The following is a 13,404-nucleotide window of genomic DNA, read 5'->3' on the forward strand; positions in this document are numbered from 1 at the left end:
GAGGTCCAGGGTCTAAGAGGAATAAAGCTGACAAAATGTCAATGCAAAGCCCAGGGCTGGAAGCCAAGCGTGGGCGGCCTCTGTTCGCCATCGGGGTGAAGCCTCCTGTGTTCGTTCACTGCCGTCGGGGTGAACGCCATATGGGCAGGTGACTGGGTGCTCTCGAACCTCCCCGCCAAGCCCAAAAAGCCACATAATTAAATGCAATGTCGGGGCCGGGCACGGTGGCTCACACCTGTGATCCCAGCGCTTTGGGAGGATCACCTGAGGTCAGGAGTTCAAGACCAGCCTGGGCAACATGGTGGAACCCCGTCTCTACTTAAAATACAAAAATTAGCTGGGCGTGGTGGCTCACATCTGTAATCCCAGCACTTTGGGAGGCCGAGGTGGGTGGATCATGAGGTCAGGAGATCGAGACCATCCTGGCCAACACGGTGAAACCCCGTCTCTACTAAAAATACAAAAAATTAGCTGGACGTGGCCGGGTGCGGTGGCTCACACCTGTAATCCCAGCACTTTGGGAGGCTGAGGCGGGTGGATCACGAGGCCAGGAGATCGAGACCATCCTGGCTAACACGGTGAAACCCCTTCTCTACTAAAAATTACAAAAAATTAGCCGGGCGTGGTGGCGGGCGCCTGTAGTCCCAGCTACTCGGGAGGCTGAGGCAGGAGAATGGCGTGAACCCGGGAGGCGGGGCTTGCGGTGAGCCAGGATCACACCACTGCACTCCAGCCTGGGTGACAGAGTGAGACTCCGTCTCAAAAAAATAAATAAATAAAATAAATGCATTGTTGGGCTGTGTTCCTCCAGAAAAGACAGAAGCAGGGAAGCTGCAGAGTGCCCCACTGTTTAGGCCGTTCGGCTCTGAGCCTCCCTGCTGGGGGCTTGAGGGTCCCGGCAGGAAGGCTACGCCCTTGGGCAGAACAGGGCAAGGATGTGTGGCAGCCAAGCAGGCATGAGAAGGGCAGCAGCAGAGGGAAGAGGGCATTGGTGGTGGGATGAGGATTGTCCCGAGTTCCATCCGAAGCGGTGAGGGGCAGGGCAGGGGATCTGCCACACAATGCTGGGCTTCCCTGTCTGTGGAGACCTGTATCTTGGCAGGAAGGGCTGTGGGACCCCACTTCAATCTGGGTGGGCCCTGCTTTCAATCTGCATGTTTTTCCCAGCCCCACCTTTCCGGGGGGCTTACAAAACCAGCCCGGGACCTCACAACAAGAACAATCCTGCACATCCAGTTTTTTTTGTTTTTTGGTTTTTTTTAAACAGAATCTCGCTCTGTCACCCAGGCTGGAGTGCAGTGGCACGATCTTGGCTCACTGCAACCTCCACCTCTCAGGTTCAAACAATTCCCCTGCCTCAGCCTCCCAAGTAGCTGGGATTACAGGTGCCCCCTACCACACCCGGCTAGTTTTTATATTTTTAGTAGAGACGGGGTTTCACCATGTTGGCCAGGCTGGTCTCGAACTCCTGACCTCAGGTGATCCACCCACCTCGGCCTCACAAAGTGCTGGGATTACAGGTGTGAGCCACCGTGCCTGGCCTTTTTTTTTTTTTTTTTTAATGGAGTCTTACTCTGTCACCCAGGCTAGAGTGCAATGGTGTGATCTAGGCTCACTGCAACCTCCACCTCTAGGGTTCAAGCGATTCTCTTGCCTCAGCCTCCCGAGTAGCTGGGATTACAGGCACCCACCTCCACGTCCAGCTAATTTTTCTATTTTCAGTAGAGATAGGGTTTCGCCACATTGGCCAGGCTGGTCTGGAACTCCTGACCTCAGGTGATCCACCCGCCTCGGCCTCCCACAGTGCTGAGATTACAGGCGTGGGCCACCGCACCCGGCCCCAGTTTTTAAATTCCACGATGGCATCATTCCAGAGAAACTTGGTACAGAATTCAGATTAAACATCCTTAAGAGGTTCAACAACAGAACAAGACCATCCTGCCACGGGGATCAGCTTCATAAGTTTGCTGTACAAGGACTGAGTCAGGTTAATTTTTTTTAGAAAAGGAAGATTAAAATGATTGAATTTTTCTGGTTTAAAAAGGAATTCTTGGAGAAAAAAAATCACTGGAAAAAAGTCGGGAAACAGCAAAACCACACAAATTGGGATTGAAAATTACCCATGACTCACCGCTCAGGAAAGCTCAGACCGTTTTATATTTTTCCACCAGTGGCAAATGAGAGAGCCCATTTCCCAACCTTCACCAACATTATCACTGTCATTCATTTTTCCAGTTCGCTAGGGGGAAAAAATGACAAGTCATTTTTGTTGCTTATCCTTTTTTTTTTTTTTAGGGGGGCGGGGTGGTGGGGCAAACAGAGTCTCGCTCTGTTGCCCAGGCTGGAGTACAGTGGCACGATCTTGGCTCACTGCAACCTCTGCCTCCCGGGTTCAACGAATTCTCTGCCTCAGCCTCCCGAGTAGCTGGGATTACAGGCATGCACCACCTTGCCGGCTAATTTTTCTATTTTTAGTAGAGATCGGGTTTCACCACATTGGCCAGGTTGGTCTCGAACTCCTGACCTCAGGTGATCCGCCCACCTCGGCCTCCCAAAGTGCTGGGATTACAGGTGTGAGCCACCGTGCTCGGACTATCTTTTTTTTTTTTTTTTTAAAGTTCTGGGATACATGTGCAGAATGTGCAGGTTTGTTACGTAGGAATACATGTGCCATGGTAGTTTGCTGCACCCATCAACCTGTCATCAAGGTTTTAAGCCCCGCATGCATTAGGTATTTCTCCTAATGCTATCCCTCCCCTAGGCCCCCACCTGCCAACAGGCCCCAGTGTGTGATGTTCCCCTCCCTGTGTCCACGTGTTTTCATTGTTCAACTCCCATTTATGAGTGAGAACATGCAGTGTTTGGTTTTCTGTTGCTGTGTTAGTTTGCTGAGAATGATGTCTTCCAGCTTCATCCATGTCCCTGCAAAGGACATGAACTCATTCTTTTTTATGGCTGTATAGTATTCCATGGTGTATATGTGCCACATTTTCTTTATCCAGTCTATCATTGATGGGCATTTGGGTTGGTTCCAAGTCTTTGCTATCGTAAACAGTGCTGCAATAAACATACGTGTGCATGTGTCTTTACAGAAGAATGATTTACAATCCTTTGGGTATACACCCAGTAATGGGATTGCTGGGTCAAATGGTGTTTTTGGTTCTAGATCCCTGAGGAATCACCACACTGTCCTCCACAATGGTTGAACTAATTGACCCTCCCACCAACAGTGTCAAAGTTGCTTATCTTTGACTTACTGATGTGTAGGAGATACGCTGTTGTCAGCACCCTGTGCTTTCCCCGCTATGTTTTGTAACTGGTAAGAGCTGAAAGTGATTCAGCAGATATTAAGTGAGCGCCCACTGTGTGCCAGGCTCGTTCTAAGCACAAGAGATTCAGTTAAGAGCAGATGAGGCTGCTACCCTCGTGGGGCTCCTCCTCCAGTGGGAGAGGCAGACAATAAACAAGAATATAAACAGGAAACTCATTTCAGACACCGAGAAGTAACAGAAAGAAAACAGGGCGGGTAAGATCACGGCTGCAACTGGGAAGCTGGGATGGCAGCGTGGATTCCAGAGACAGGCGTCCGGGAGGAATGACATTTGGGCACAGACCTCAGCAAGGAAATGGAACAAGCCACAGGCACGCCGCGGGAGGCCACCTGAGGCCCAAGAGCCCGTGTGGAGGCTGACTGCGAAAGTCTGAGTAGATGAGAGAACCAGGGGCGGCGGCTGTGATGAGGTCAGAGATCATCATAAGATTTGTGAACCACATCGTCAAGGCCCCGTGGACGACAGCAAAAATAACAGGTCACAGGGAATGACGTGACCTGATTCACAGTTTAAAAGGCCATTTGGGGCCGGGCACGATGGCTCACGCCTGTAATCCCAGCAGTTTGGGAGGCCAAGGTGGGCAGATCATCTGAGGTCAGGAGTTCGACAACAGCCTGGCCAACACGGTGAAAGCCCATCTCTACTAAAAATATAAAATTAACCAGGCATGGTGGCAGGCACCTGTAATCCCAGCTACTCAGAGGGCTGAGGCAGGAGAATCACTTGAACCCGGGAGGCGGAGGTTGCTGTGAGCCGAGACTGAGCTATTGCACTCCAGCCTGGGCAACAAGAGCGAAACTCCGTCTCAAAAAAAAAAAAAAAACATGCTCTAACCTATGCTGATTGGGTTACTCCAGAAAAGAAATTTGAGAGCGAAAACTGCAAGAACAATGTGCTTGAACAGGAAAAAGGGCGAGACCTAGATCACAAATGGAAAAGGGCCAGGTTATAAAAACAGCTGACTTTTCAATGTAGTTGCCCCTTGGCTGGGTGCCGTGGATCACACCTGTAATCCCAGCACTTAGGGAGGCAAGGGGGAGCGGATCACCCGAGCCCAGGACTTCAAGACCAGCCTGGGCAACATAGTGAGACCCAGTTCTCCATTAAAAAAAAAACTCCACAAGTCTGAAGTATACAAGAGGATGTATATAGGTTATATGCAAAAACTATGCCATTTTATATCAAGGACTTGAGCACTGGGGAGGTGGGTCTTGGAACCAGTCCCCCCGCCACACAGATACTGAGGGCCGACTTTATTTATTCATTTATTTATTTATTTATTTATTTATTATTTTGAGATGGAGTCTTGCTCTGTCACCCAGGCAGTGCAGTGACACAATCTCAGCTCACTGCAACCTCCGCTCACTGCAACCTCCCCTCATTGCAACCTCCACCTCCCAGGTTCAAGCAATTCTCATGCTTCAGCCTCCTGAGTAGCTGCGATTACAGGCATTCGCCACCACACCTGGCTAATTTTTGTATTTTTATTAGAGAACCGGATTCACCCTGTTGGCCAGGCTGGTTTGGAACTCCTGACCTCAGGTGATCCAAGCACCTTGGCCTCCCAAAGTGCTGGGATTATAGGCATGACCCACTGCGCCTGGCCTTCCATAACTTTTTGATCAAAATTTTATCAGGAATGGATGGCTACTGATTATTCTTTGAACCTGTTGTGGTATATTTCATGAGTGTCCAGTCTAAGATTAAACTATCCTTGCCTTCTTAGAAGAGATCCTCCTTACTCACATGTATTATTAAGGGATCACTAGGATCTTATGTTCTGTGGGGCTTGGGGCTCCCACAAGCAAATGCCACCTTGTAACAGGAATCTCTCTGTGGGTAGCTGGACTGTTGCCTGAAGTAAATTTCAGCCTGTGGTCCTCAAATGTAAAGCTAGCAGATGCAACATGATTATTAGAGTGGTTTGCATTTAAGCACCCCTATTACCCTTCAAACGTAAGCATGTGCTTTGCTCTTAGCCAGGAATTTTTTTTTCTTTTTTGAGATGGAGTCTCGCTCTGTCACCCAGGCTGGAGTGCAGTGGCGCGATCTCGGCTCACTGCAAGCTCCGCCTCCCAGGTTCACACCATTCTCCTGCCTCAGCCTCCTGAGTAGCTGGGACTACAGGTGCCCGCCACCACACCCAGCTACTATTTTGTATTTTTTTTTTTTTTAGTAGAGACGGGGTTTCACCTTGTTAGCCAGGATGGTCTCGATCTCCTGACCTCGTGTCCGCCCGCCTTGGCCTCCCAAAGTGCTGGGATGACAGGCGTGAGCCACCATGCCCAGCCTCAGCCAGGAATTTTTAAGGAAATGGTGGTGGGGTTTTGGTACCTGAACAGCCTCTACCCTCTAAATGCTCAGGAGAAACGCCATCTCCCAAACCTTGCCAGCTAAAGAAGAACCAGTTTCTTCTGAAACTCTTATGTGAGTAGAAGAGTTGTAACACCTCTCCCTGCCCTGCCCCCAGTCTCCACAGACATGTCTTTCCTCTCGGAATCCTCTCTGGATGGGTAAGAAACTGTAACCTGCATCTTCCCTCCCTCCCTAAAGATTCCCCGTTCCTTTCTGGTTGCATCTCAGGAGCACAGGAGGTCTCTGCTTGTGTTTTATCCATTTACTGTTGGGTCTTTGTTTCCACGTAAAGGCCCACGCTGGGTTAGTGGGGAAAAAATTTCCTTCTAGACTCACATCTGACGCTTTTTATTTGTTTCTTTGAGACGGAGTCTCGCTGTCCCCCAGGCTGGAGTGCAGTGGCGCGATCTCAGTTCACTGCAAGCTCCGCCTCCTGGGTTCACACCATTCTCCTGCCTCAGCCTCCCGAGTAGCTGGGACTACAGGCACCTGCCACCACGCCCAGCTAATTTTTTGTATTTTTTAGTAGAGACGGGGTTTTACCGTGTCAGCCAGGATGGTCTCGACCTCCTGACCTCGTGATCCGCCCACCTCAGCCTCCCAAAATGCTGGGATTACAGGCATGAGCCACCGCACCCGGCCGAAAAGTTATTTCTTTTACAGACAAAGCCATCGTGGTCTAATTTATCCAGGAACCCATGTCATTCATTAGGGAGCTGCATCTGTGGGCGCCTCAGGCCACCCAAAGCATGAAGGTTACTCGGCTCTGAAACAATGTGGTCTGCACGGGAGTCACCATTCCGAAAAACACACGAATCAGAAGGCGACCCTTCTGTCAGAGAAGTCATCCAGGAGTGACTTGCGGATTCACTTACGCAGCCCGGAAACCAAAAAATGCTTCAGCTTAAAGAAATGATCAGCAAGATTCACCTCTGCACCCTTTCAAGTGTGAGGGGCCCCTCGAGTCCACCAAAGGTTTTCAAAATGCCTCTGAAAACAGCGGTTTCATAGTCATTTTTGGGTCACAGACAGTTTTGAGGACAAAAGCTATGGATCTTTCAGCAGAGAAAAAGGCACATACAGCAAAAAGTCAGTGTATAAATTCACAGAGTTCATAAATCCCCCTGAAGCCTGTTAGCGGAAACTGATCACGGGAGGTCTACAGACCCCAAATGAAGACCTCCCTGTCTTAAGAGTTCATGTCAGTGCACGTCTTGACCTTGATTCAACTGAGAGAGAGATAATCCTGCCCCATCTGTATCCTGCTGTAAACATTCCTCCAATGTAGTCAGGATCTGCCGAAAACCTAAGATGACGTTAACAGTGAAGAGCGGGTGATTAAAAAAGAAAAAAAAATCTCACTCTCCCCGCTCTCCCACTGTCGCTGTGTTCCTAAACTCAGGCAGAGCTCATGCCTTCAGGATGGCGAACATCAGAGCCACCCAGGACTGAGAGAACTCACTGTCCTTTTTAAAAAAGCATTTCTCAGGGCCAGGTGCGGTGGCTCACGCCTGGAATCCCAGCACTCTGGGGGGACGAGGCGGGTGGATCGCTTGAGCCCAGGAGTTCAAGACCAGCCTGGACAACATGGTAAAACCCTATCACTCCACAAAAAAATACAAAAATTAGCCAGGCGTGGTGGCCACTCCTGTAGCTCCAGCTGCTTAAGAGGCTGAGGTAAGAGGATGCTTTGAGCATGGGAGGTCAAGGCTACGATGAGCTGTGATCGTGTCACTGCACCCCAGCATGAGTGACGGGGCAAGACCCTGTCTCAAAAGGGCTGCACTGTCTGGCATTGCAGCAGCTGGGAAAGACCAGATGACTTTACATCCAGTGTTTGCTCTGTCTAGAGATCATCCTGGCAACGTATCCACCCAGGGTGCATTTTGTTAGTCTTGCTCTGTTGCCCAGGCTGGAGTGCAATGGTGCGATCTCAGCTCACTGCAACCTCCACCTCCTGGGTTTAAGTGATTCTCCTGCCTCAGCCTCCTGAGTAGCTGGAATTACAGGCACCAACCACCATGCCTGGCTAATTTTTGTATTTTTAGTAGAGATTCAAACCTCCTGACCTTATGATCCGCCCACCTTGGCCTCCCAAAGTGCTGGGATTACAGGCGCCCACCACCACGCCCGACCTAATTTTGTATTTTTAGTAGAGATGGGGTTTCACCACGTTGGGCACGCTGGTCTCGAACCTCCTGACCTCAAGTGATCTGCCCGCCTTGGCCTCCCAAAGTGCTGGGATTACATGTGTGAGCCACTGTGTCTGGCTAATTTTTGTACTTTTAGTAGAGACAGGGTTTCACCATGTTGGCTGGGCTGGTCTCAAACTCCTGACCTCACCCTCCCAAAGTGCTGAGATGACAGGCGTGAGCCACCACGCCTGGCCCCAGGGTGCATTCTCATGATCCCTTGCTGAATGGTCTTCTACCACAGCCACCCAAAGGCCACACAATGCCAACAGAAAACGTCACAGCAGGCCTGGCGCGGTGGCTCACGCCCGTAATCCCAGCACTTTGGGAGGCCGAGGCGGGCGGATCACAAGGTCAGGAGATCGAGACCATCCTGGCTAACATGGTGAAACCCTGTCTCTACTAAAAATACAAAAAATTAGCCGGGTGTGGTGACGGGTGCCTGTACTCCCAGCTACTCGGGAGGCTGAGGCAGGAGAATGGCGTGAACCCAGGAGGCGGAGCTTGCAGTGAGCTGAGATCGTGCCACTGCACTCCAGCCTGGAAGACAGACCGAGACTCTGTTTCAAAAAAAAAAAAAAAAGAAAACGTCATAGCAAACCCCCAACGCCTACAACTCTACTGTTTATGATTAGTTCATCAAATTCAGAAGCCAGGCCACAGAGAACAAAGAAAAAAAACAAAGAGGAGACAAGATTAGCTCAACTTGGCAAAAATGGAAACGGATGACAAAGTGGGTTATCCAGTTACTTGAAAGTTCCCACTGCTCCGCCTGGCAGTGGGTTCTGCTGAAAGACTCCAAGGCTGTGGTTGGAACTATCCTAGGAATGCAGGCCAGAAACGCTTCTACAGTGACCAACAAAACAATGAAACACATATCAAAAGGGACGGGACTGGGAACCGGGAAACGGTAAAAATGCCAACGAGAAAGTCCAGCAAATCTGAAACACCGGTGGGATTCGTCAGCCTCATAGAGGCCGCAGGGAAAAAACACCGGTGGGATTCGTCAGCCCCCACAGAGGCCGCAGGGGAAAAACACCGGTGGGATTCGTCAGCCTCATAGAGGCCGCAGGGGAAAAACACCGGTGGGATTCGTCAGCCTCATAGAGGCCGCAGGGAAAAAACACCGGTGGGATTCGTCAGCCCCCACAGAGGCCGCAGGGGAAAAACACCGGTGGGATTCGTCAGCCTCATAGAGGCCGCAGGGGAAAAACACCGGTGGGATTCGTCAGCCTCATAGAGGCCGCAGGGAAAAAACACCGGTGGGATTCGTCAGCCCCCACAGAGGCCGCAGGGGAAAAACACCGGTGGGATTCGTCAGCCCCCACAGAGGCCGCGGGGAAAAAACACCGGTGGGATTCGTCAGCCCCCACAGAGGCCGCAGGGGAAAAACACCGGTGGGATTCATCAGCCCCCACAGAGGCCGCAGGGAAATGCAGCCTGGTGATTTCCGAGAAGTCCCAGTTCCCGAGAGCAACATGGAATCTGCCCCCGCATGCTAAGGACCAGGTCTTGCTCTTGACTGGGGAGCCTCAGCTTTTCTTTCCAACAGCTGCTGCAAATCTGTGGGATCAAGGCAAAGCCAACGCAGATGTAGGATTCATCCGCAAACTCCTTGGCCAGGTCAGCCAAGCCTTCTCGGGCAAACGTCACCCCTGCCCTCCAGCCAAATGCCGACCACAATCAAAACCATCCTTTCTGTGAGCAGCATTTGAAAACAGAGCCCTAAATGTGCTCTCACCCTTTCTAACCCCAAATGACCAAACACCATGATATACACTGAGAGCAGGAATCCCCCTCATCCCAGCCTCCAATGTCACACCAGGACGAACACTGAGGTTACTCAGCACAGGTTCCGGCTCCAGAGCCCGGCTCTTCCATCTGTTCCAGCCGCTTATTAGTGGGTGACCCTGGTGAGGTATCTCACCGTCTCTTGGCTTCCTCAGCTGCAAAATGTAGATAACAGAACCTACACCTCACTGAACTGCTGTGAACATGAGTTACATAGAGCGCTTAGCATAAAGACTGGCCAATATTAGGTATGAAATAAGTGTTAGTTGCTTTAAGCTAAGGCGCTGACACAGACAATGGGTCTCATTCTGTGGCCCAGGCAAAATCATGGCTCACTGCAGCCTCCACCTCCCGGGCTCAAGCCATCCTCCCACCTCAGCCTCCCAGAGTGCTGGGATTACAAGCGTGAGCCACCACACCTAGCTTAGTTGCTATTATTATTATTATTATTATTATTATTTTCTAGACCCAGAGTCTTGCTCTGTCGCCCAGGCTGGAGAGCAGTGACACAATCATAGCTCACTGCAGCCTCCACCACCCGGGCTCACGTGATCCCCCCACCTCAGCCTCCGAGGAGCTGGGACTACGGTCGCACACCACCATGCCTCACTAATTTTTTGATGTTTTGTGGCAACAGCGTCTCGCTATGTGCCCCAGGCTGGTCTCAAACTCCTGAGCTCAAGCGTTCCTCCCATCTCAGACTCCCAAAGTGCTGGGGCTACAGGTGTAAGCCACTGTGTTCAGCCCCCATGCCATCTTCTAAATGCTCCAGCAGGACCTTGTCCTCATATCCCCAGAGGTAAGGCCCAGTCTTGGATCCCCTTGCTCCTGAGGCATGATTCCCAGTGTGTGATTTGGCCCATGACTGCAATCCTCAGAGCCTAGTATACCTGCTGGCCAAGAGCAGTGCCTGGGCACATTATGTGTCCAATAAATGATAGATGAACAACAAATGAACAGAGGAAGGGAGAGAGGAATCACCGTCCTAGGTCAGCCAGAACAGATGCCCCCTAATCAGTCCAGCTCAGCTACTTAATGGCTTTTTCATGACCACGGCTCCCCCTTGTTCCTGGGGGGCCCAGAATGCTCCTGAAATGGCAGAAGAAATGATTCGAATCCAGCGCTGGTGGGATCAGAGCTTCTCTCGCTTTGCCCGATGGTGCCTTAGATCCTGTACCCTCCCCACCTGCGCATTCTGCCTTCGCCTGGAGCTGAAGCAGAGAACAGACCAGCCCGTGTGACCAAGGGAAAGGGGCCGGGGGTCCGGGCCAGGCTGATCCGAGCCGTCACCAACCTATGAGAATTCCAAACCCTCCTGGTGGCTCTGCCATTTTGATGCTACATGTTTTCAGCTGGTTCACAGAGAGGACCTATGCATGCCCCAAGGATGGCAAGAGCGTGAGGTTCACAAAACAACATGTCCACTCTGATTCCTGCAGACAAAGCCACCGAGCATGATATATGCCGCACACGTTCTTTCTGGGTCCTTCTCTGCCACGCCAGGCTGCATTAAAATAAAAAGACTGGGTAGAAGGGGATTTAAAATCTATTTTTCATCTCTCTAAATCTCAGAACACTGAATTTTCCTTTCCTTCTTTTTTTTTTTTTTTTTTTTTTTGAGATGGAGTCTCGCTCTGTCGCCCAGGCTGGAGTGCAGTGGCTCGATCTCTGCTCACCACAACCTCTGCCTCCTGGGTTCAAGCAATTCTTCTGCCTCCGCCTCCCGAGTAGCTGGGATTACAGGTGCCCACCACCACACCCGGCTCATTTTCGTATTTTTAGTTGAGACGGGGTCTCACCATCTTGGCCAGGCTGGTCTCAAACTCCTGACCTCAGGTGATCCGCCCACCTCGGCCTCCCCAGAAGCTGGGATTACAGGCGTGAGCCACCGCGCCCGGCCATAACAGTGAATTTTCTAACCAATTTACAGATGACCTAGCTGGGCTTTGCAACCCGACAGAGCTGAATCAGCTGTGACTTACAACACTCTAATCAAAGTGCCACAGGGATGAAAGTGGTGAGACGCCGAGTCGGCTTTCAAAAACCTTACAGTTTAGAAGTGGGAAACGGTGAAAATGGTAAACTTTACGTTACATATATTTGGCCACAATATAAAAATATGAAGCAACAACCACATATGGCAGATCAGGCCAACTGCCAGGAGAAATGAGCAAAAGAAGGCCCAGGAGGAAGAGTGGCTGCATTCTGGTTGACTAGAGCTGCCAGGAGGGCCCTGAATCTTCAAACACACTGAACTATCTCAAACATCCGCCCTACAGCTGCCTCCCTTCCAAACGGGGGCCGCTCCAAGAACCCACCGTTCCGGGTTGAGTTTGGTCCTCACTGGTCAGTGAAATCTTCAGTCGATACCTGTGTTTGCTGGAGGCCGTGTGGGATAGATCAAACGGTGGAGAATGTGGTTCTGGAGCCAGGCTGCCTGGGTTCAAATCCCCGCTCTGCTATGAACCACCAGGGGAACTCCAGCCACACACCTCTCGGAGTGTCACTTTCCTCATGAGTAAAATGAGGATAATAACAACACTGCTTCGTCCTGTTGCTGTGAGAACTGGATTAATGCACGTGCGGTGCTGACAACACTGCTTGGTTCATAGTGAGCGTCAGGCCGGACGCGGTGGCTCACGCCTGGAATCCCAGCATTTTGGGAGGCCGAGGCGGGCGGATCACTTGAGGTCAGGAGTTCAAGACCAGTGTGGCCAACATGGTGAAACCCCATCTCTCCTAAAAATACAAAAATTAGCTGGTCTTGGTGGCAGGTGCCTGTAATCCCAGCTACTCGGGAGGCTGAGACAGGAGAATCGCTTGAACCTGGGAGGCGGAGGTTGCAGTGAGCCGAGGTCACACCACTGCACTCCAGCCCGGGCAACCAGAGTGAAACTCTGTCTCAAAAAATAAATTTAAAATAAAATAAAACATAGGAAGTGTTCAAATACATGCTAGAAATAATGAGGAGGAGGATATCTGAAAAGAAAAAGTGCCAGGTATGCACGGCAGCTCACGCCTGTAACTTCAGCACTTTGGGAGGCCAAGGTGGGTGGGTCACTTGAGCTCAGGAGTTCGAGACCCCTGGGCAACATGGTGAAATCTCATCTCTAAAAAAAAATTAGCCTGGCATGGTGGCACACATCTGTAGTCCCAGCTACGCAGGAGGTTGAGGCAGGAGGATCACCTGAACCTGGTGTGGTCAAGGCTGCAGTGAATCGTGATGGTGCCACTGCACTCCAGCCTGGCGACAGAGAGACCTTGTTAAAAAAAAAAAAAAAAAGGCCAGGCACGGTGGCTCACACCTATAATCCCAGCACTTTGGGAGGCCGAGGCGGGCAGATTACCTGAGGTCAGGAGTTCGAGACCAGCCTGGCCAACATGGTGAAACCCCGTCTCTATTAAACATACAACAATTAGCTGGGCAAGGAGACAGGTGCCTGTAATCCCAGCTACTTGGGAGGCTAAGGCAGGAGAATTGCTTTAACCCAAGAGGTGGAGGTTGCAGTGAGCTGAGATCGTGCCACTGCACTCCAGCGTGGGCGACAGAGCGAGACTGTCTCAAAAAAAAAAAAAAGAGAGAGAGAGAGAATATTACCATTTCTACTGGACCATAAATGGAAAAATATGATGTTCCCTGTAACCCCCATTTAGCACCCATGCCAGCAGCAGGCTCCCATTCTGGTGGAGGGAGAATGGGGAAATGACTTCTTAGGTCTCCTATCAACTTGGGA

At 50.9% G+C, this 13,404-nt stretch overlaps 1 protein-coding gene across 6 annotated transcripts in view, besides 1 other annotated feature; it reads right to left on the minus strand.

Moving 5' to 3' along the window:
• NXN (nucleoredoxin) overlaps window positions 1-13,404 on the minus strand; it is a 180,467-nt gene that overhangs the window by 27,552 nt on the left and 139,511 nt on the right. The gene's annotated exons all lie outside the window — the stretch shown is intronic.
• Window positions 6,681-7,421: an enhancer, noted in NCBI's record as "H3K27ac-H3K4me1 hESC enhancer chr17:736782-737522 (GRCh37/hg19 assembly coordinates)". NCBI's record gives its function as "activates a minimal SCP1, AML or CMV promoter by ChIP-STARR-seq in naive H9 embryonic stem cells {active_cell/tissue: H9 hESC(naive)}" and the evidence as "EXISTENCE:reporter gene assay evidence [ECO:0000049][PMID:30033119]".

Source organism: Homo sapiens, chromosome 17, assembly GCF_000001405.40.
Source record: "Homo sapiens chromosome 17, GRCh38.p14 Primary Assembly".
Lineage (NCBI taxonomy): Eukaryota > Metazoa > Chordata > Mammalia > Primates > Hominidae > Homo > Homo sapiens.